This window comes from Homo sapiens, chromosome 2, assembly GCF_000001405.40.
Source record: "Homo sapiens chromosome 2, GRCh38.p14 Primary Assembly".
Lineage (NCBI taxonomy): Eukaryota > Metazoa > Chordata > Mammalia > Primates > Hominidae > Homo > Homo sapiens.
Window position 1 is genome coordinate 13,701,182 of NC_000002.12, and position 23,494 is coordinate 13,724,675.

Below are 23,494 nucleotides of genomic sequence, written 5' to 3' on the forward strand. Positions count from 1 at the left end.
TAGCTTTATAGAACAAGTTGTATAACTTCTAACAAGGGGAAGGACATAGCATACGAAGAAAATAAAAAGGAAGAAAAGAAAAAGCGATGAAAAAGAGAAATGAGACAAATGAAGAGGGATGAGGTGCCGGAGGAGGTGCAGGAGCACGGAGGCATCCCTGCAAACCACCCAGGGCTACTAGTTCCAAAATTAGCAAAAGTAAGCCTAGCATATTATTTGAGGAAAATTAAATATTGAATAACAGGTCACATTGCTCTTCTTTCTGAATTTATAAGGCCTTTGAACCAATAATCTAATACACATTAAGAATTAATGTCACATACTTTATTATCTAGGAACATTATACTTCATAACCCCCATTAAGATAACGGCACTGGGTCACTTGAGTACAGGTTGGGATGACAGATATGCTTTTGAATCCAAGCCTATTTTAGATTAGTGACACACGCCTGGCCTTCTGAGACATCATTTGGTCCTTTTCCTCTCTTTGCTTTCTAGTATTTGTACATTTAATGAGAAATTTCAGTATGGATAAATGAGATGTGTGTATTTGTGTGTGTGTGTGTGTGTGTGTGTGTGTGTGTACTTAAATTCTTATTGCAAATATTTATGTTGTCATGAAGTCTGGAAATCTATACACCCACAAGCATAAAAAATTACTTTGCAGTTACAAAACTTGATGTAATTCTTATAAATGATTGCCAAAAAAGTTAATTTTATAGTAAATCTTATCTATTAAAAAGCTGTGAAGAAATGTAAGCATATTTTCTGTGAATATAGAACACTATTTGAAAATAGCTTCATCAAATAATCGTGTAATAATAAACAAGCATACTAACAAACAAAACCAAAACTATTCTCACTTGTCTTCACCTTGTTAGATATTTAGAGTAAGCATTATCTCAGGGAAGCTTTTCCCAGATTCCTTTTGTTGTTGCTATGCTGTGGTTGTTTAAAATAAGTCTCACAGATTTTAATTTAATATTCATCACATGATTATTTAACTAGTGTTTATATGCCCTGACAGACAAGTCTTGGAGGAGACAACAAAGTGTACATCTGTTTTACATCCAGTGATTAACATATGATAGGAGTACCGTATACATGGGAATTGAATAAGTCCAGGACAGCCTCTGAGAAGGACAACTGTGTCAGGTCATATAACTTGCTTGCCTTGCCATGGTGACCCAAGTGTTAAATAATTTTTCTCTGATATAACTTCAAATGTCTCACTTTCTATGTTACTCCAAGATGCCACAACGTGGGACAAACAGCTTAATCAGCCATATCCTCAGTCTCTCTATAGTCATTAATGAGGAAGCATTGCTTATAAATATCAAGTGATGACGGTTTATACCCAAACCTGTCTTGATTCAAAGTGATAAAGTGAGAAGGCTGGCTATGAGGTAGCATATTCACCAGCTATTACATGTTTTTTCCAAATGTATCTCCCCAGTGTTCAGCAGGGTTTGTCTTACTAAACGTTAGAAGATCGTGCTAATTAATAAACAAGTGAAGACATCGAAGGGATGAACTGAACATTAAATAGTCCTACTGCAGGCTTTAAATAAAATCTTCTCATACCATGAGGGGAAAAGAATAACATGGACTGCCTTTTAATAACACACATCTATTAATACATATTCTTTGTATGAAATTATTTTTACCCAAACATATGAGAAAAGCCATTTGAAATTCAATTTTTAAAAAAAGCTACAAAAAATTGTTATGCCCAGTTCTGCAGAACAAGAACGTTTTATGTTTTATTTTATTTCATCTTGTTTTAAGCTCGGTGGATTAGAATTTGTTAGCTCATTGGATTGTAAAATATACCTCTGTAGAAAACTATTATTGAAGTGCTTTGTCATTGGAGCATAGAAGCTGACATCCTGTAGGATTATTCTGCTAGTGATTTCATATGCAGGGCTCATTGGAGCCATGTCTATTTGTTCTGCTGACAAGCCAAAGACCCTAAAGTTTTAAAAGTATTGAGTTAGGTTTAACAACATCTCTGCATTTTCTAAAAAGAAATAAAATATTTAGAGAAGGCCCAGTTTTAGGAAACCACAAAAAACTGTCACTGAAAACCACTGTGTTTTTACATTATGAGGCGCCAAGCAGATGTGATAAACTGTTTATCTAAGGGCCTATCCGCAGAAGTCTTGTGGATTAGATAAAACCTATGAAACCTACCGTGTTCACTGTGCGAGAGTGAGAAGTCATTTTGCTTCCTTGGAGAAATCTATATGGGAGCACAGACTTTTGCATACTTGATTGTCATGTGTGTCACCTAGGGATGAAAAAGATAGGACGGACCCAGGGCAGCTTTTGGATGAGACAGAGAGCCTGGCAAGAAGCAAGGAGGTGATTACAGGGGTTTGAGCAAGAAACCACAGAGGAGCAAGTAGAATGATGAAAAGTCATGGAATTGGCCCCGCAGGAGAGAGAGAGAGAAGAAAGATGTTCATTATCTATGGAAAGGGAGAAGGTTGAATGGAGACCTAATCTTCAAGGAAAAGAAATATTGCTTATGGAACAATGAGCAGTGGCCTTTTCTGTTAACTGAGAGAATGAGTTAGAATTTTAGCTAGAAAAATTTAGGGTAAGCCTAGAAAAGAAATTTGTGCTGCAGTTTGGGAAACAAACAATCCATGTTACCAAGTAAAACTGCAGATATTCCTCTTGTAGAGATTTCTATATTACTCTGAAATCTGTAGGTTGATCGACTTCATCCAAAACTATAAATTTGTTTTTTTACGTTTGTTCCCAGCTTTTAACTCTGCATCATAGATTTCAAGGAGAAAGGCCTTACATGTGAGGCAAGCCTGGAGGCCACAATTTCCAACATTTTTAAATAATTACCTAAATTGCAATTGCATGGAGTCAGAAAAAACAAATAATGAACCGTGACACTGGAATCACTCCATAGATAATATTCAGAGTTCTAAGAATAAAATAGACGCATGTGTGTGTGTGTGTAATATTTAAGTACCAATCCCAAATTAACTTAATTAAATTGAATATCTGCCTATGGAGAGTTCAAGTTCCTTTCTATGCTTGAAATTTTGGTACATTAATTCTCCATGAAAGACGTCACAATCCAGGAGAGAAAATAGGTACCTATGCAATAACCATAACACAATATGATAAGTTAGGTATATGGGAAAGTTCTGAGGACAGACAGAAGAGGGAGTTCTTTCTTATTGTACTAGGGATAGAATATGATCCTTCTGGGGAGAAAATAAGAACAGAGGTGACAATCAGTTAAATAATGGAATATAATCAGCCTTTTACCAATTGGAAAAGAATGGAGTGGTTGGTTCAAGCCCAGTAGATACTATTTGGGAAAGAGTAGAGGCCTAAGATTTTGTAGTGATACTTGGACAACAGTGAGACATTAGCTGTATAAGCTGATCAGCTGTAGCACAATTGTTGGGGGTGGCAGGGGAGAGAGAGAGAGACAGACACAGAGAGCAGAAATGTAAGTAAGTTGGGCATTGTTAGGAATATAGAATGATGTGATAAAACTATCAGATTTTTTTCTGTAGGTCAGAAAAAATCTCTAAAATGATTGAGCATGAAAATGACAGGCTCAGAAATAATTTTATAAAGATAACTGAAAAGGAGTGGCAGAAAATAAGAAATGGTCAGGAAGGACACAATCAAAGTTATTACGACTGTCAAAAAGGTGATGAGGGTGACTAGAATCAGAATGTTCAGCAGTAAGAGTGGCAGTGAGGCAAATATTAGAGAGCCAAGTAAGCATTTGTTCATGCTAGAATCCATTAAATGTAGAAAAAGTCAATGTTTATATATATATATATATATTTTTTTTTCCCCGAAGTCTCTCTCTGTCACCAGGCTGGAGTGCGGTGTCACAGTCTTGGCTCACTGCAACCTACACCTCCCAGGTTCAAGCAATTCTCCTGTCCCAGCCTCCCGAGTAGCTGAATATTTTTCAGTTTTAAAATAATTTACATTAAATCATTTCTAATGTCTCTATGTGTATACCACACTCAGTGTAATATTGGGTATTACATTAAACCTAGGTGAATTTTTTCTTTTTGTAGGTCAGATATAATTAAATATCAGAAATTTGATACATTTCACCTTAATATAATTAGATGTTAGGTTGCCCATTAAATCATGGGACTGGGGTGAAAGAAGTGAGAGATCATTAAAAAAAGCATTAAATGTTAAGGTTCTGTTTTGAAAATTCCAAAGCCAGTGTTACTTGAAAAGAGGTTGGGAGGTGGTATGCATAGTATGTGTATCAGGGGATCCATGCCAATGTGTAGGAAACATCTCATTACCCTCAAGTCAAAATAAATTAAATTCCTTCGGAATGCTCTTCATGGGACATGCAAGCCATTATTTAACATACAGCATGAACCTGGCCCAAAGATGCAAAACAGGAGAAAGTCACTAGTGTAGTTCTTCAGCAGCATTCTTGCCAGAATCTGTTGGAATCCAGCATTTCCAATTTCTTTTTATTCATATGTTTTTGGCTAAAATAACACCAACTATTAATTAATGATTCCAGATTTTGTTTTTTCTTGAAAAATGTGAGTGGGTCTTGTCATTTCTTGATACACTATTTTTCTATCTGTTGACCCAACTGTCTGTCTGCTGTGGACTGAGTTGTAGCTCCCCCCAACTTAAATCTTCAAGCCCTAACCTGCAATGTGACAGTGTTTGGAAACAGATATTTTAGGAGGCAGTTAAGGTTGAATATAGTCATAACGGTGGGGTCTTAATCTGGTGAGACTGGTGACCTTATATCTCTCTCCCTGCTTCCTGAGACCAAGGAAAGACCAAGTGAGAATACAAGGAGAAGAGGGCCACCTGTGAGACAAGGAGAAAGAACTTAGAATAAACCGATCCTGTCAATGGCTCCAGCCTCTAGAACTATGAGAACATACATTTCTGTTGTTTAAGCATCCTGCTCTGTGGTATTTTGTTAAGGCTTCACTATCTGTCTAGCTATCTATTTTCTATCATCAATCTACCTCTATTGTGTCACATAGGGTAAAAACAAGCAAAACCGAACATATCATGCTTTACCTCCTGCTTCTCTGGTGAAGTGAGTGCCCTGGCGTGATAGGCTCACCCTGCCTCTGATCCTGTACATGTTCTCCTCTCAGCCTTAACCCAATTATGCCTGAGGTTGCAGTTTTTTGAATTCTTGCAATCAGAGCTTTGTGATGACCTTGAGCAGTAGGATATAAATAATTCCTACATGCTTAGCATTCCAATAATGGAACACTAGACATATGGGTTAAGAAGAGTATAAGACGTAAGAAACTAATAAGTAAGATCATGAAGTTAAAATAACAAAAGCAAAACAAAACCCCAAATCTTTTGATCCAGCTACCTATGACTTACAAATTGTAAAACCTTAAACCTAGTTAATCATTCTGAACCTCATTATCCTTCTCTAAGTAATGGAGATAGTCACTACTTGAACATGCACACATGTGTGAGAATTACAGGAGACAACATATGCAATGCTCTCTCTTGTCTCAGCTCTCCACTTTCCCTACAAACTATTCATTCAAACTTCAATCCCCAGTCTATCTACTCCAGGGTGCCTTTTCAGGTGACTAAAATATGTTTATTTTCTGGCTCTCCAGATTGACTTCATAGATCATATTTCATTTGAACTTCATGTTTAGTCTGAACTCAACACTTTTTAGCATTTCAGGGAGCAAATACTATGACTAACAATTAATGGAACTAATTATATATACATAATAATATATAATACATAACATAGAATATAGACTACAGAATACTATATATATTATATAAATGTAACACATATAATAATATATGTATCTACCCACACATACACACACACACTCATATGTTCAAAATACCCAAAAGATTTTGTGTTTAGTGGTTAACCAAACAGAAAAGCCTCTGGCAGTATAAATTCAAACCAAGAAATTTCACAAGAAATTAAATAAAATAAATAAAAACTTTTCTGATGTAGTAGTGGTTTTGAAATTAAGGGCAAAATATGATAAACTGCAAATCATACTGAAAGAAAGAACTTACAATTCTTGCCATACCCAGTTGACTACACTGGTACTTCTGCTGACAATAATCAAAATGCTGTTATAAAACAAACAAACGTCTTTAATACATCCCTGACACAGCAGTAAAAATTACTCTGGATAGAAAACTAGCAATAACTGTCTTATCACCTTGATAAGAGAACATCTGTTCAGAAAATTTGGCCCTGAGCAGAGATTAAAAGAAAAAATGCATTTCTTTTTCCTGAAATTTTGTGACCATGCACTAGTCCTGAGGTAGATAGATATCTCTAGCAAACTACCTGGATGACCCAAAATGATGCAGGTAGCAAACACAGTTTAAAATCCTAACTCATAGATCTATAGTGATTGCAGGAACCTGAAAGAAACAAAGAAAAAATTTTTTTCAGGAAAAATTTCCATCAGAAGTTAAATATTTCAAATAATGCCTGTAGATAAAATAGAAGGCTAATTTTCACATTAACATAATAAATATACAAGATAATGCTTTCATTAGTAAAAACAAAAAAGTTATACCTAGAATAATCCTCAAACTCATTAAATAATGGATACAAATAAAAAACAATTTTGTTTATGTTCATTGGTTTCAATAAATAAGGCAAAGACAAAAATGTGGGCAAGGCAGTTTTCAAACTATTTCTAGTAGAAATCTAAGAAATAAGAATATGTCAGTTGAGATCCAAATGTCATATCACTTTAATTTTGGACTAGATGTAGGTCAAGAGAGAATACATGATCTAGAAAAAAGCATAGGGGTTCATACTGGGTGCTCTAATACAAACAATACCTATTGAACTATTTCCTTAACCTTTTCAAGGCTTGATTTATATATCTTTGAAATGGGTATACTAATCAATTCATAATTCTGTGACAATTAAGTGATACTATATATTTTAAAATATCTAAGATAGCAACTTGTAAGTTGGAGGCACTTGTTACATAGACAACAACTTAAAAAATTAAAAACATATATTTGTATCATGTCACCATCTTTGTTTTCTTGCCTTTGATGCACCAGAGAAATTGTAAAGACTTCTATTTTTCTTGTGAGATTTGCCCAACAGTTTATGTTTTAAGATTTGATGGAAACAGTTGGTTGAAAGACTTGCTTAGATTTATCAAGTTTGGTCACCTGTTTATCTATTAACTAGTAATCAACACAGTTTAGTCTATAGCCATAGGACATTTTTGGAACTTTTTTTGTGAATTAGTCATAATTACTCATAAGGATTTTAGATCTCCTGAAACTAATAACAAGCTAAGTGTTTTCCAGTTAGAAAGTGACCATAATTCTATGAAACACCAGCAGGTAAGCCCAAGGTATCCTAAGAGGTGGAGGAAGTGTTTTTCAAGGGATGGCAAGGGCCATGAATATAGGATACCATGATTTATCATTACTAAAGCTCTTGGTACTGTTGAAAAGATAACTCCACTTTCCAGCCATAGCCAAAAAAAAAAAAAGAAAGGGCACTGCAAACTGCAGGTAGAGTGCAGAAATGATTCACTCAAATACTGGGCCTCTTGTTGGAACTGTGAAAGAAGGCAAGAAGAGGAGGCAAATAAGTGAAGAAGAATGATTGTTGTGATAACTAATCTTATGTGTCAACTTGGCTAGTCTACAGGACCCAGATATCTGGTCAAATACCAGTCCAAATGATGCTGTTAAAATGAGATTATCATTTAAATAGTGACTCTTCCTAAGGTGGTAAGCCTCATCTAGTCAGTTGAAGGACGTAAGGGAAAAGGACAGAGATCCTTCAAGAGAGAATTCTGTCACAGTCTGCCTTGGGACTTGAACCTCAAGATCAACTCTTGCCTGCTTCTTTTTGCTTCTAGACCTATAACTAGACTCATGTCTCAGCCACCCACTAAAAGTGATGTACAAAGTGTAACCAATGAAGAAATGTGCTATACTCCAAAAGAACTACATGATATCTCGAATTTATATGGACAGAAATCTAGAGAGCATGTATGAGAATGAATATTAAGGATGTGGAATAATGATGGAATCAACATAAATTTGGATAATGCCAACTTTATTGTTATGAATCCATGCTTACACTAATGTATGACTGTGTATGTTCTGAATCAGCATCCAGTATATGGTGCTGTTTCTTCCGTAGCCGGGATTCTTGTGTTCAGGATCAAAGAGGTGGAAATGGAAGAGTTACCACTTACCATTACCCCTAGTGATCCACTAGTAAAATTTTTGCTTCCTGATAGATTATGCTCTGCTGACCTTGAGGTCTTAGTTCCAAAGGGAGAAATGCTTCCAGCGGGAGACACACAATGATGTAATAGAACTGGAAGTGAAGACTGCCTTCAGACCACTTGGGCTTCTCATGTCTCCAAATCAACAGGCAAAATAGGGAGTCACTGTGCTGGCTGGGGTGATTGATCCTGATTACCAAGGGAAAATTGAACTAGTAATCCACAACGGAAGTAAGAAAGGGTGTGTCTGAAATATAGCAGCTCCCTTAGGGCATCTCTTCATATTCCCATATCCTGTGATCAAGGTCAATGGAAAACTACAAGAACCCCCTTCAGGCAGGACTACTAATGGTCCAGATACTTCAGGAATGAAAGTTTGGTAAATAATCACAACCAGCTGAGGTGCTTGTTGAGGAAAGAGGGAAAATGAAATGTGTAGTGGTAGAGGGTAATTATGAATACTAGCTATGACCACATGAACATTTACAGAAAAGAAGACTAATTGCCATGAGTATTTCTTCCTTATTTTGTTATGTTTGTGTGTGAATATTTTATATATATGATATTATATATATATCACATATATAAAATATTTTCTTCATTCTTGTATCCCCTTATAATATGTATTGACTTTACATCATAGTTTTAAGTATTGCTAGCTTAATATTATAATATTTAAGTTACAAGATATTAAGGAGAAGAGTGAACATCACCCAAGCACTCTGTATCCTTTTCTGGAAAAAAAGGTTATGCATTTCAGGTTGTATGCAGGATGGTTGTATCATGTTAGGAGGAAATACGACATTGTTATTTATTTCTATTTGGAGATTAAGTATGTAAAGTTTAAGGATATGTATACCAATGCCAAGTTGACAAAGGGTGGACTTGTGATAGTTAAATTTATATGTCAACTTGGCAAAGCCATGATATCCAGATATTTGGTCAAATACCAGTCTAGATGTTGCCGTGAAGATATTTTTTAGATAAGACTAACATTTACATAGGCAGACTTTGAGTAAAGCAAGTTATCCTTTGTCTTAGTCTGTTCAGGTTGCTATAAGAAAATACCATAAATGAAGTGGCTTATAAACCAGAGACATTTATTTCTCACAGTTCTGGAGACTGGGAAGTCCAAGATCAAGGAACGGTTTCCTGATTCATAGATGATACCTTCTTTCTGTGTCTTCACATGATGTAAGGAGCAAGAGTCTCTCTTGAGTCTGTTCTACAAGGGCAGTCATCTCATTCATGAGAACTCCATCCTCATGACCTTTCAGAGAGAGAAAGAAAGATAAAGGATGTGGTTAAAAAACATTATGCAGGAAATGCTGAAAGTATTGATACTCTAGATTATCAACTGAATTAAAATTATAATGCCACAACCAAAGTAACTAGGAAAATGAGATAAGAATTTTGTGAAATACTCTACCTTTATAGTATATCAAAATTATATAAATAGTGATCCTAATCTGCTCTATTAATTTTTCTTTTTAGGTGTCAATATTACCCATTTGAAATAACATATAATCATTGTTGTACTTTTGTAGACAGATTATGTTAATATTCTTTATTTTTCAAAAATTTTATTGTTCTCATGCTTTTTTCCTCCTAAGATGAATTTTACAATTATTGTCACTACTCCAAAAAACAATTCTGCCTTCTGAGGCATTTATTTAAATTGCCTGAATCATTGCCATATTTTTTTTCTTTTTGGTATGCCTAATAATTTTCATCTTTGGCTCAATTTTAAATGATTTTCTGAATTTTTTATTAAACTTTTCAGGTTCACTTGCAGTAATCAGTCTTTGTCCTTTAAATGTGTTTTTAAAAAGGCCACCCATTAGTTCATGAGTTAATAATTGTCATGTGTTTGGCCTCTCCGTGTTGCCCTGCAACTTTCTATCTCGCTTCTTTCCAATTCAAGGACTCTGTGTTCTCTGACTTGATAATTTTGTGTTCTGCCCCTGTGTTTTGCATTCTGCTACATGCTTCTGCAGAAAAAGTACTACAATAATTTGTTCCTTTTGATGCAAGTAACTTTCTTGTAGATGATTGAGCTGAAAATGGGTTCCCTTGTTATGCAGAAATGTAGACTTTTTTTCTTCTTCATATATAGCATCATTAAACATACCCTCTGGCTGCAAGAGTTTAGAGATGTTCTTTATTATTCATCATTCCACACCAACATACCCTTCAGAATTATATTTACCTCAGATAACATTGACATCTAAAGAGGACTTGGAAGGCTATGCACCTTGAGGGTCATGTTGCTCTAAGCATGGCTTTGGGCAATTTCCTGTTTGTGTATTAGGTGGATGTGAGTGTGTGTTGTGTTTATGCGGGTTAACTCACTCTTTTATTCATTTAACTATTAATAGTATTCGTTAATTAGCTATGTCCTTTCAGGTATTATATTATTGCAAAAGATGGAAACATTTAGAAACCGTGGTTGCCACCCTGAAATAGGTTAGTCTACTCTAATAATAGGCAAATAAACCTAATGTTTTAGAAGACTTTAGTAAGCATTATGAAAGTAGAAAACATGGGAAGGGGCTCCACAGGAAAAGAGCTAAACTCCAACTGTTGGATAATCAGAGGAAGCATCCTTGTGAGCATTGCAACTGAACCAAATCTTACAAGATGAGAAATTAGCCAGGCAGAGCGTGGATACAGACCTTTCCTACAACAGAACACAAGTGTATATAATACAGCAAATGAGACAAAACAGAATGCCTTCAGATTTTTCAAGCAGATCTATAAGTCTTAAGTCTTACAGACTTTATGTCTCCTTTGATGAGGTTGCCGGCTTAAAGCATTACTGAAGGAAATATGATTACAAGTAAACCTTACTGTGAAGAAAATGTGGTGAGAGTTGTGGCTGGCAACTAGAGAGAATGACAGAGATTAAACAGAATGGTTTGCAAAATAAATTGTGCATATGGTTCCTTAATTCCTGAAGAATCAAAGGCTTTTCAGTGATCATTTTGTTGTGATGTATCTACACTTAAAGTCTTGGAAAGACTAGAGTAGCCAGCCTTCAAAACATACCTGGTGGAAAAACTACTAATTTCATGAGTGAATTCAAGAACAGCAATCTCTATAGTCAACATTGTTTTGTTAGTCAACTATTTAGGCCATAGTCAACTCTTTAGCCATTTCTTCGGATTTCATTTTCATGAGAATTATAAATCTATGGCCCCTCCACTGTAGTGAAGCAAAGATACAGGTGACATCATCCCACACTTTACTATTATGACTCTCCACCTCCCAAATCAAACCCGTCTTTGCAGAAACAGTTTAGTTCAGGACTTACTGGCCCCACCAAACCTTAATTGAGTAGAGCCATCTATTTCTCCTCTGACCCAATCTCTTGTACCAGCCAACCAACCCTATGACTGGGTTTTATTTTTCCTTGGAAACTTAACATAATTTATTATAGTTTCTTTTTATATTTTAAAATTAATTATCTGCCGATATTATCTTTGAGCACTTTCAAGGCAACTTGAAGATATGCTTTGCCCTTCTAGGTATAAAATAAAGCAACTACGACTATGTGTCAGGAACATAAGGTTGAATGAATACTTTTTAGAATTAGAGAACACAACACAAGGAATTGTGAAGAAAGACCATAAACCGGACTGCAACTCCTGCTCTGTAATATCTTTCATCCAAAATGAAGTACTATTTACACTCTGGATCTTTTCAAAAACTGAAATATGCAATGAATTGCTAAGAGTCTCGATAATTGCTTCATAATATGGAGAGCTTGTTCCACCCTAAATTCTATTTTTTATATTCCTCTCATTTGAAAAGTTATTTTTGCTTACAATAATGTAAGCTAAAATTTCATACGCAAGTGAAGAGCTTTTAGCTGACAGCCACGTCACATCAGTTTATCCTACTGAGTAATCAACAAGTTGAAGTCAGCTTCACGATGGTTCTCCTGTAATCATATTTTCTCCAATTATGCTTTACAAAGTCAGTTACCTCATCAAGGGAGAGAAAGACAATTGTCTCATATGAATTTAACCTATTAAAATAATGTTGCTTGTTAGACACAAACTATTCTCTTTCTAAGTAATATAATAAGCTCTTTTACAATAATTTAATTTAAAATGTATCTTGCATCAAGGTGAAGGTAAGTCTAGAGGTTTACAGAATGTCCCTCACCCATATATTTTTAAAAGGACAGTATTTTCTCCTTTTTATTATTTTCATGGTTTTTCCCATTATTCATTGTCCTTTAAAGAGAGTTAATTGTACTTTGAGTCAGGTATGCCTATTTTCCAGCTACCTATATTGATAACATCTGATGCAGGTCAAAAGGTTGTTTTTATTTTTTATATTTATTTATTTATTTATTTATTTATTTACTTACTTACTTACTTATTTATTGAGACAGACTCTCGCTCGTTGCCCAGGCTGGAGTGCAGTGGCGCGACCTTGGCTCACTGCTAGTTCTGCCTCCCGGGTTCACGCCATTCTCCTGCCTCAGCCTCCCGAGTAGCTGGGACTACAGGTGCCCGCCACCACGCCTAGCTAATTTTTTTGTATTTTTTAGTAGAGACGGGGTTTTGTCGTGTTAGCCAAGATGGTCTCGATCTCCTGACCTCGTGATTTGCCCTCCTCGGCCTCCCAAAGTGCTGGGATTACAAGCATGAGCCACCGCACCCAGCCAGGTTGTTTTTATTTTTTTAACAATTTATACTTTTTAATGACTTGGGCTTTTCTGTGTGATGTGTATAATTCACATAATTTTATACATCAATCATGAACATAACTAAAATCAACTTCACCAAGAGGTTTATAACAAGACATAAAATTGTGAACATGAAGAAAAGCAATTCATGAGATGATATAGACGCAATGAATAGAACATTTCAGAATTATTCTTGCAAATATCAGGCCCCTAGGGTTTCCATTTTTACCTTTCAGGAAAATATACTTGTTTGAATTTAGAGAATTCCTCAAAGGCTTTTGAGGACAAAGGAAATTCAATAGAGATCAATAGATACAAGTTAGATATTTAAGTAATTGGGCACATACTGTCAGAAAAGAATAGATATAATTCCTTAGTCAGGTTCTTCAAATTGCCCACAAAGATAAAAAGTTTAGAGTGGAGGCTATGATGGGAATTGCTCTGTTTTCTTAGAGCAGCTGGTCATTTGTTCTAACATGTAATATAGCAAATCAATTCAAAAGGTGATCGTGTTAGAGAAGAATGCACTTGAAATACTTCTGTAGACACAGAAGCTATGAATCACAATGAATTCTAAAACCTTGGTGTAATTTTTTTCTTAGAAAAAAATAGGAGAAATGATTTAGCTCATGTGACCGAAGTCAATATTTTAGACGGCATGACAGTTAAGTAACCATTGTGCCACTGAATACACAATATTGCAGTAGTCATTTAAATTTCCCCTAATGTTCTAGCAGGGTTAGACATTTTCTCAAAAATTATGCTAAGTTAGTCTTTATTTGAAAACTCACAGGCATAAAGCATAAATGTACTTTAAAGATGGATATAACATAAGTGACAGCCAGCCAAATTATTCAGAACACTTAAAAATATTTAGCATGTAAATATATGCACAGGTATGTATACATGTTCATTTATGTCTATGTTTACATATACATATATTTCTGTGTATGAGTGTACATATCTGTGTGTGTATGTGTGTGCATGTGTGAGTTTGCATGTCTGTGTAAATGGGTTCCTGTTTTTAATTTGCCTTTTGTAAATGAAAAATAAAAATGACAATACCAAATTCTATTTACTGTCATGGAATCTTCATAAAAAAGATATTTAATATCACAGAAATAAAATGGCTTTATAAAAGGAAGGTAGACCAAGTTAAATTAAAATTTTATTTTGAAATAATAATCTATGCATTTTCCCTTATTTTGCTAAATACAGTTATTTAGTAACCACTTCCTTCGATCAAACCAACATTTTACTTATACATTACTGAGGTATAAAATTATTACTATATTTACACAAACACATAGTTGAATGGTAGTTGACATTAACCTAATTCCAAATTACATACCCTATTCAAAGCAACAAATTTCTGGTAAATCTACATCTTGAGTTCCCCATTTTCTTTTTTTTCAGTGATGGGATCTCGCTACGTTGACCAGGCTGGTCTCAAATTCCTGGCCTCAAGCAATCCTCCCATCTCGGCCTCCCAAAGTGTTGGGATTACAGGCATGAGCCACTGCATTTGGCCCAAGTTCTCCATTTTCATTATAATGTACATATTTTTCCTTTTTAGTATACAGATTATATTCCAAAATACTATCAAACTCAAAAATATGTAAGAGTTAGCATCTTGGGTTACTTTAATACAGGGGTCAGCAAGCTTTTCTGTAAAGGGCCAGAGAGTAAATATTTTAGGCTTTCTGGTTCAAACAGTCTCTAACACAACTACTCAACTCTGCCATTGTGGTATGAAAGCAGGCAGAGACAACGTGCAGATACATGAGCATAGGTATGTTCCAATAAAACTTTAGTTACGGACACTAACATTTGAATGTCATATAATTTTACATGTCATAATATATTATTAATCTTTTAATTTTGTTCAACCGTTTAGAAAAGTAAAAATGTTTCTTAGCTTATAGACTGTACAAAATCAGGCAATAGGTTGGATTGGCCCAGACCACAGTTTGCAGATTCCTGCTTTAATATTTTAATATGAATGGAAATATTGACTTTAATATGAATGGAGATATTGACTTTAGCGGAATGAATTCTACAATAAATTAAATTATATGCATAAAGTTTACTTGAATCCTATCTAGTCCACCTGTGTCAACGGGATACAATGGATTCGTAAAGAAAAGATAGTAATGGCACCAAAACATCCTTGCTGGTACCTATACAAAGTTCCCCACACTGACTTTTAATGTAGAGAAGTAAATGTTGGTATGACTCCAGAATTTAATTTCTTTTCCCCTGGCACTAAAATTGGATGTGCTGGAGATCCACTTTACAGAAATTATATTTCTCTGTGTAGAAGATTTAAGTGATCAGTTGATCCTCCAAGCATGATATAAACAAGTGAGGTGGGTGTAGTGACAGCTGCCCCAGAACCAAGGCTTAGCTTTTTTTGTGTGCTGTGCAACCGTGTACCTCATCACCATGCCATATTTTCTCTGAAATTGACATCTTATCTGTGACGAGCTCATTTAACCCTCGGATACTAATTAACATTTATTCACCCACTTAGTTTACCGGAGAAAGATGATTTTAATAAGTTGTTTCATTCTCCCAGTCAAATGTTGTTAATCAGACTAAATTATTACTGATTCAAGATGTATGTTAAGCCCAAGGACACCAAATGTATCAATGCAGTGTCAGCTCTTGGCTTCTGCAAGGGATGGGTTCTGGGACTTCCTCAGATACCAAATCTGCGGATGCTCAAGCCCCTTATATAGAGTGGTGTGTAGTATTTACATGTAAACTATGCAAATCCTCTGTATAATTTAAATCATCTCTAGATTAGTTAAAATACCCAATACAATGTAAATGCTCTGTACATAATTGTTAAACCATATTTTTTATTTGGGTTATTTTTTACTGTATTGTTATTTTTTAGGTTTTTAAAAATACTTTCTATCCATGGTTGGTTTTTTCTGTGAATGTTGAACCCATGGATATGAAAGGCCAACTGTATAACTCTTTACTTCTGTTTTAAACGGAATAATCTTCCATAGAGGAAGATTTGCGATACAGAAACCATTACCATCTTTATCTTTTCATGTACACTGGGTTAGATAAACAGAACCAGAACTCAAAAGCACATCATCAAAGTAGCATTTATATTTATGTTTTTAAAAATTGGAATCATGCTTTCATATGTAGAATATATTTAATTAAATTTAAATATAATTTTAATCATTTCTACCCAAATACTAGGAATATTCATAACATATAATTTTAAAATAGCTGGATAAAATATTTTTAAAATATAACATATATTTATTATCCTATTTTGACATATAAATTGTTTTCTATTTTCTATTCTACACATATGAGCTAACTCAAATGTTAGTATTTATTTATTGCTATTTTACCTTCTAAATATACTTCTCTCAGGATCTCATTGGGTGAGGGTATTCATGGTCTAGTCAGAGTCTAAAGTGTCCTAAATCTTTGAGGAATAAAATAAAAAAGAAGCTACTCACTAGTTTATAATCTGATAGGGACATACAATATTAATCTCTGATTATCCTCATTTAAGTTCTTATGTAAGAAAGCACTGGTGACTGGTAGATCCCTACCTTAAGTATTTTTAGAAAGATTGCAAAAATGAACTTTCCAAGAAGAATTATAATGGAGTGATTATTATGCCCACCCTATCCAAATAAGGTATCTTTGTTTTTATTTCAAGATGGTATACTTTTAACCGAATAAAATGGCATTTCTTTATTCTTTCAAAGCAAACAAATAAAATTTTTCATTGCTAAAGGTATTTGTATTTGTATTTCTTTAGTAAGCTCTCTTGTCATGTTCACTACTTTTTATTAAGGTGTATTTCTGTTATTGATTTTAATAAGACTTTTATATATTGTATACCAAAATGTTTTCTAATTTGTGCCATTCTGTATTTTTGCTTTAAAATATTTAGTTTTAAAATGATATAAATAAAAAGTTATTCAAATTTGTATAACAAATTTTTGAAACTTTTATGTTAAAAATGATAACCTTATACCTTAGCTGATAATCTATTTGCTTTCTTTTCTTGTTGACAGTTGATTGACAGCTTTATTTATAAATTTAATTCTTCAGCATGCTTGTATTGTATGACTATGTATTTGGTTAGCGAAATGTTTTTGTGCACTAATCTCATTGTTCCAGAGTTTTTTCTTGAATAATTATTTTTCCAATGACTTATAGTAACACTCTACTTTGCTTATGTATAATGAAAATTCAAGTAATCAAAGGTAGAATAGGGTTTATGAGCTTAAGATCTACGATCAGTTGAATTTAGGTTTTCTTTTTTTTTTCTTTTTATTATTATTATTATACTTTAAATTTTAGGGTACATGTGCACAATCTGCAGGTTTGTTACATATGTATACATGTGCCATGTTGGTATGCTGCACCCATTAACTCGTCATTTAGCATTAGATATACCTCCTAATGCTATCCCTCCCCGCTCCCCCCACCCCACGACGGTCCCCGGAGTGTGATGTTCCCCTTCCTGTGTCCATGTGTTCTCATTGTTCAATTCCCACCTATGAGTGAAAACATCCAGTGTTTGGTTTTTTGTCCTTGCGATAGTTCGCTGAGAATGATGGTTTCCAGCTTCATCCATGTCCCTACAAAGGACATGAACTCATCATTTTTTATGGATGCATAGTATTCCATGGTGTATATGGGCCACATTTTCTTAATCCAGTCTATCATTGTTGGAATTTGGGTTGGTTCCAAGTCTTTGCTATTGCGAATAGTGCCGCAGTAAACATACATGTGCATGTGTCTTTATAGCAGCATGATTTATAATCCTTGGGGTATATACCCAGTAATGGGATGGCTGGGTCAGATGGTATTTCTAGGTCTAGATCCCTGAGGAATCGCCACACTGACTTCCACAATGGTTGAACTAGTTTACAGTCCCACCAACAGTGTAAAAGTGTTCCTATTTCTCCACATCCTCTCCAGCACCTGTTGTTTCCTGACTTTTTAATGATTGCCATTCTAACTGGTGTGAGATGGTATCTCATTGTGGTTTTGATTTGCATTTCTCTGATGGCCAGTGAAGATGAGCATTTTTTCATGTGTTTTTTGGCTGCATTAATGTCTTCTTTTGAGAAGTGTCTGTTCATGTCCTTCGCCCACTTTTTGATGGGGTTGTTTTTTTTTTCTTGTAAATTTGTTTGAGTTCATTGTAGATTCTGGATATTAGCCCTTTGTCAGATGAGTAGGTTGCGAAAATTTTCTCCCATTTTGTAGGTTGCCTGTTCACTCTGATGGTAGTTTCTTTTGCTGTGCAGAAGCTCTTTAGTTTAAGTAGATCCCATTTGTCAATTTTGGCTTTTCTTGCCATTGCTTTTGGTGTTTTAGACATGAAGTCCTTGCCCATGCCTATGTCCTGAATGGTAATGCCTAGGTTTTCTTCTAGGGTTTTTATGGTTTTAGGTCTAACATGTAAGTCTTTAATCCATCTTGAATTAATTTTTGTGTAAGGTGTAAGGAAGGGGTCCAGTTTCAGCTTTCTAACCAATGAGAACAAAGGCACAACATACCAGAATCTCTGGGACGCATTCAAAGCAGTGTGTAGGGGGAAATTTATAGCACCAAATGCCCACAAGAGAAAGCAGGAAAGATCCAAAATTGACACCCTAACATCACAATTAATAGAACTAGAAAAGCAAGAGCAAACACATTCAAAAGCTAGCAGAAGGCAAGAAATAACTAAAATCAGAGCAGAACTGAAGGAAATAGAGACACAAAAAAACCCTTCAAAAATTAATGAATCCAGGAGCTGGTTTTTTGAAAAGATCAACAAAATTGATAGACCGTTAGCAAGACTAATAAAGAAGAAAAGAGAGAAGAATCAAATAGATGCAATAAAAAATGATAAAGGGGATATCACCACCGATCCCACTGAAATACAAACTACCATCAGAGAAAACTACAAACACCTCTATGCAAATAAGCTAGAAAATCTAGAAAAAATTGATAAATTCTTCAACACATACACCCTCCCAAGAGTAAACCAGGAAGAAGTTGACTCTCTGAATAGACCAATAACAGGCTCTGAAATTGTGGCAATAATCAATAGCTTACCAACCAAAAAAAGTCCAGGACCAGATGGTACTTCTACCAGAGGTACAAGGAGGAGCTGGTACTATTCCTTCTGAAACTATTCCAATCAATAGAAAAAGAGGGAATCCTCCCTAACTCATTTTATGATGCCAGCATCATCCTTATACCAAAGCCGGGCAGAGACACAACCAAAAAAGAGAATTTTAGACCAATATCCTTGATGAACATTGATGCAAAAATCCTCAATAAAATACTGGCAAACCGAATCCAGCAGCACATCAAAAAGCTTATCCACCATGATCAAGTGGGCTTCATCCCTGGGATGCAAGGCTGGTTCAACATATGCAAATCAATAAATGTAATCCAGCATATAAACAGAACCAAAGACAAAAACCACATGATTATCTCAATAGATGCAGAAAAAGCCTTTGACAAAATTCAACAACCCTTCATCCTAAAAACTCTCAATGAATTAGGTATTGATGGGACGTATCTCAAAATAATAAGAGCTGTCTATGACATACCCACAGCCAATATCTTACTGAATGGGCAAAAACTGGAAGCATTCCCTTTGAAAACTGGCACAAGACAGGGATGCCCTCTCTCACCACTCCTATTCAACATAGTGTTGGAAGTTCTGGCCAGGGCAATTAGGCAGGAGAAGGAAACAAAGGGTATTCAATTAGGAAAAGAGGAAGTCAAATTGTGCCTGTTTGCAGATGACATGATTGTATATCTAGAAAACCCCATTGTCTCAGTCCAAGATTTAGGTTTTCTTACTAGCTTTACCTTTTATAAGCTGTTTTTGTAAATTATGAAATTCTTTTTGTTTTAATTTTCTCAGGTAAAAATATTTATTAGAGTATCTCTGAAAAGTGATTAAACATCAAATGAAATAATGATGACTAACTGAACTTTTAGAACATAGTAACCTTTTGATACAGACAAGAGGCACGTAGATTCTGGGTAGAAGAGAGTGATTCCTCAGCAAATGCCCCACCATCAAGCCTGGAAACCTACAGCCCTAAATGAAAATGTACATTCCTGTTTTTGCACCCAAATGTTGCCTTTTGGCCCAACACACCCCCCGCATCCTGTACCCAGGTGTATTAGTTTCTTTTCACACTGCTGATAAAGAGATACCTGATATTGGGTAATTTATAAAGGAAAGAGGTTTAATGGACTCACAGTTCCACTTGGCTATGGAGGCGTCACAATCATGGTGGAAGGCAAAAGACACATCTTAAATGATGACCAGCAGAGATAGAATGACAGCCAAGCAAAAGGGCTTTCCCTTATGAAACCATCAGATCTTGTGAGACTAATTCACTACCATGAGAACAGTGTAGGGAAAACCACCCCCATGATTTAATTATCTCCCACCAGGTCCCCCCGACCCACAACACCTGGGAATTACGGGAGCCACAATTCAAGATGAGATTTGGGTGGGGACACAACCAAACCATATCATCATATAAATCCAAACCACAGGCTCCATGAGCAGATGAGCAGAGTAGCAGAAGAGCTGTGTGGCAGAGGAGAGAAGAGAAGGAACATGTGAACGTCGAAAGTTCATCTGGGGACAGTCAGGGAGGAGATCAGCCATGGGATGGCCAAACTCCAGGGGAAGATTATCTTCCTACTCCATCCCCCTCCAGCTCCCCATCCATCCCACTGAGAGCCACCTCCATCCAGCAATAAAACCCCCGCATTTACCATCTTTCAATTTGTCCCTGTGACCTGATTCTTCCTGGATGCCGGACAAGAACCTGGCAGGGGGGCATTGAGCTGGTTAACACTTAAGCCATCTGCAGATGGCAGAGCTACAAGAGCACTGTAATGTGCACACTAGGGCTTTGGGAGTTGCAGTCACCCACCCCTAGATGCTACCGTGGGGCCGGAGCCAAAAGTGCTCACCCTTACTCCTACACCTGCCTGTCTGCATGCTCCCCCTCCTGTAAGGGGTTTGAGGGCATGGCAGGCAAACAGATGAGCCACACCCTTGTCACATGTCCTGCGAGGGGGATCAGGGACCTCTCCCATTTCACTTTTACAGATGTTAGATATATTAATGGCATAGTGTAACTTCTGATTTTATTTTTATATCCTTGTAACTTATGTGTTAATTTTTATATGTGTGGTGAATATGTTTTGCCTTCCCAACCTTCTTTTCTACCTTTCTCTCTCCTACTAGAATGCCTCTCTTGTTCAGGTTTCTTTCTTTCATTGCATATTCATCTACTTTACTTAATTAAATGGAAAGACCAATAATTCATTTTCTATGATGAAGTGTTTCTTTCCTTCTGTGGCATGGAACAGGACTTAGCACAGAGTCACACTATGTACATATGGAATGATGAATAGGACGAACAAATTGTATATGGCATCGGTATTCATCTTACTACAACAAAATGTTAAAGCAAATAAGATGGAATAACAACTAATATTTAGTTTAAGGTACTTTTCTATGGGGTGTGTGTGTGTGTGTGTGTGTGTTTTACTAGCAGTAGGTACTGGGCTCTGTATGGTATATTAGTAAGAGAGTTCAAGCAAGGCAAGCAGTTGTACTTGTGAACCTATTCTCTTAACCCCTGTGTGATAATGCTATCAGAGAACACATAGACTAGAAGGGCTTCAGTCTTAGATGACATTATTAAGCTACTGCTCAGACATCCCTGGAATCAGACCTACTCCTAGACTTCCAATTATATTATACGTCATTGTTTATAATAATACTAAGTAAAGATTTTTGTTAAGTGAGTATAAAAGTGTCTTGACTGAGTCCTCAAACTGACCATCGGGCTGTCTGATACCGTTGTAGACCTGATTGAAAATTCTTGATCTGGCCACATACCCTGTTTACATTGATGCAGATTCAACTGGGTGAAATAACTGTGAACTGGGCATGTGAAGAGAAAGCTGAAAGCCATGATCTCAAGATGGAAACTTCAGTATCCAGCAAAGGTATTTATAATCTTGAGACAGACAGAACACTTTCTACCAGTGCAGTGCTCTCACAACCAACAAATCTAGATTTTGCGGACCAATCAGTATACTTCTTAATATGAGTCTTTGGCTTTTGAAGATCAACTTCTCTTTTACTTTACTTATCTTATTCCTGAGAACGTACCTAGACTCTCTGTTGTATCAGCTTATATTGTTGGTAGCAATGCTTTTAGTCTTCATACTCTTTAACATTCTAGAAATGCCACCAAAATTACTTGATCACAATACCTCTTGAAGTAAATTAACCAGTGACTCTTGAACGAAATACCTCATAGGCCCATCGAATCTTGATTTCAACTTTTTATTGGCTTGTTTGACTGAGTACATTATAGTTACTACATTAATTTTGGCTCTCACTGAGTTTTTTCTTGTTCTTTCTTACGAGTTTCTGTTCATTTTGATTCACAGCCTTCTGGTCTCTTCATGCTTGAATACAGAGAAGTAATAGTTTCTCCTTTGAATGCCACAAAGAGAGGGAATCTCTGCAATGTCTGATCTGTTCTGTTAGTGGATCTGTGTATTGTCAAGGAGTTTCTCAGATAGCTCATTGTTTGGAATATAAGCTATTCCATTACTTGGAATCAGCATCTTGTAAATCAGACCAGTAGCCCAACCCAAACTGTGGAGTGAGGAGAGTGCCTTGTTTACAGGTGTCTAGCAACAATTGATGTAATCTCCTTTTTGTTGTTTATAATAACATTCTGTCAATTCAAAAAATCAAACCCTACCACACACCAGGATCCCTATGTCTTATGTTTGCTGCATGTCAGATTCATGTACATAGCTAATAAAATCGCACACATACATCTAAAAATGTTTAGAATTGAATTTTGAATAATGTTCATTTTTCCACAAGGTCTTACACTTCTCTTGCATCTTAGGACAAAAAGAAAGTAAGCCTCTATCTTTCATGAGCTCTTTATTTGAGTGTGGGTCAAAGGATTTAAGTGTTTTCATAACTCAAAATTAACTTTTTCAAAGAATCCTGTAGTAAATACTAAGCAAAAGGCTAGCTAATTATCAAGTTAACCATTTATGACTGTACCACTTATTTTTCTCTCCCTCTCTCCATTTCTGTCTTCCTAGACCTTACAGTCTACTTCCACTATATCCTGCAAAGTTATAATATTCTGACTGTTTAGAAGACTAAACTTTGCAATATTCTCCCAATATCATCCTCATGGGGTTTTCCAAACTCCTCCTTTCATTGTGTCTGTTAGCCCCATATTCTTCCTCATTGTTGAGCTTAATCTCAGTAAAGGAAAAATTATCTCACAATCCCCACTAAGATTTTATTCCCACCCTCCAGGGAAAGTTTATGCCATTGTTTTTGAAAATTGGTCACAAGTGAAGCTCCATGTTACAGTAAAATGATTCTTCAAGCCTATGAGACCCAGCACATTTCCTGGAATTAAAATATTTTCTACTGCTAAAGTCCAGT

The 23,494-nt window shown here is 35.7% G+C and overlaps 1 long non-coding RNA gene across 5 annotated transcripts in view; it reads left to right on the plus strand.

Moving 5' to 3' along the window:
• LOC105373438 (uncharacterized) overlaps nucleotides 1–23,494 on the plus strand; it is a 220,483-nt gene that overhangs the window by 163,268 nt on the left and 33,721 nt on the right. For 2 of the 5 annotated variants that reach the window (NR_188380.1, NR_188384.1), the window contains exon 3: nucleotides 21,869–22,011. The exons of 2 other annotated variants lie outside the window; for them this stretch is intronic. This is a non-coding gene — a long non-coding RNA (uncharacterized LOC105373438). The remainder of the gene's footprint in view (nucleotides 1–21,868; nucleotides 22,012–23,494) is intronic. One more of the 5 variants, NR_188383.1, reaches the window with a different exon arrangement.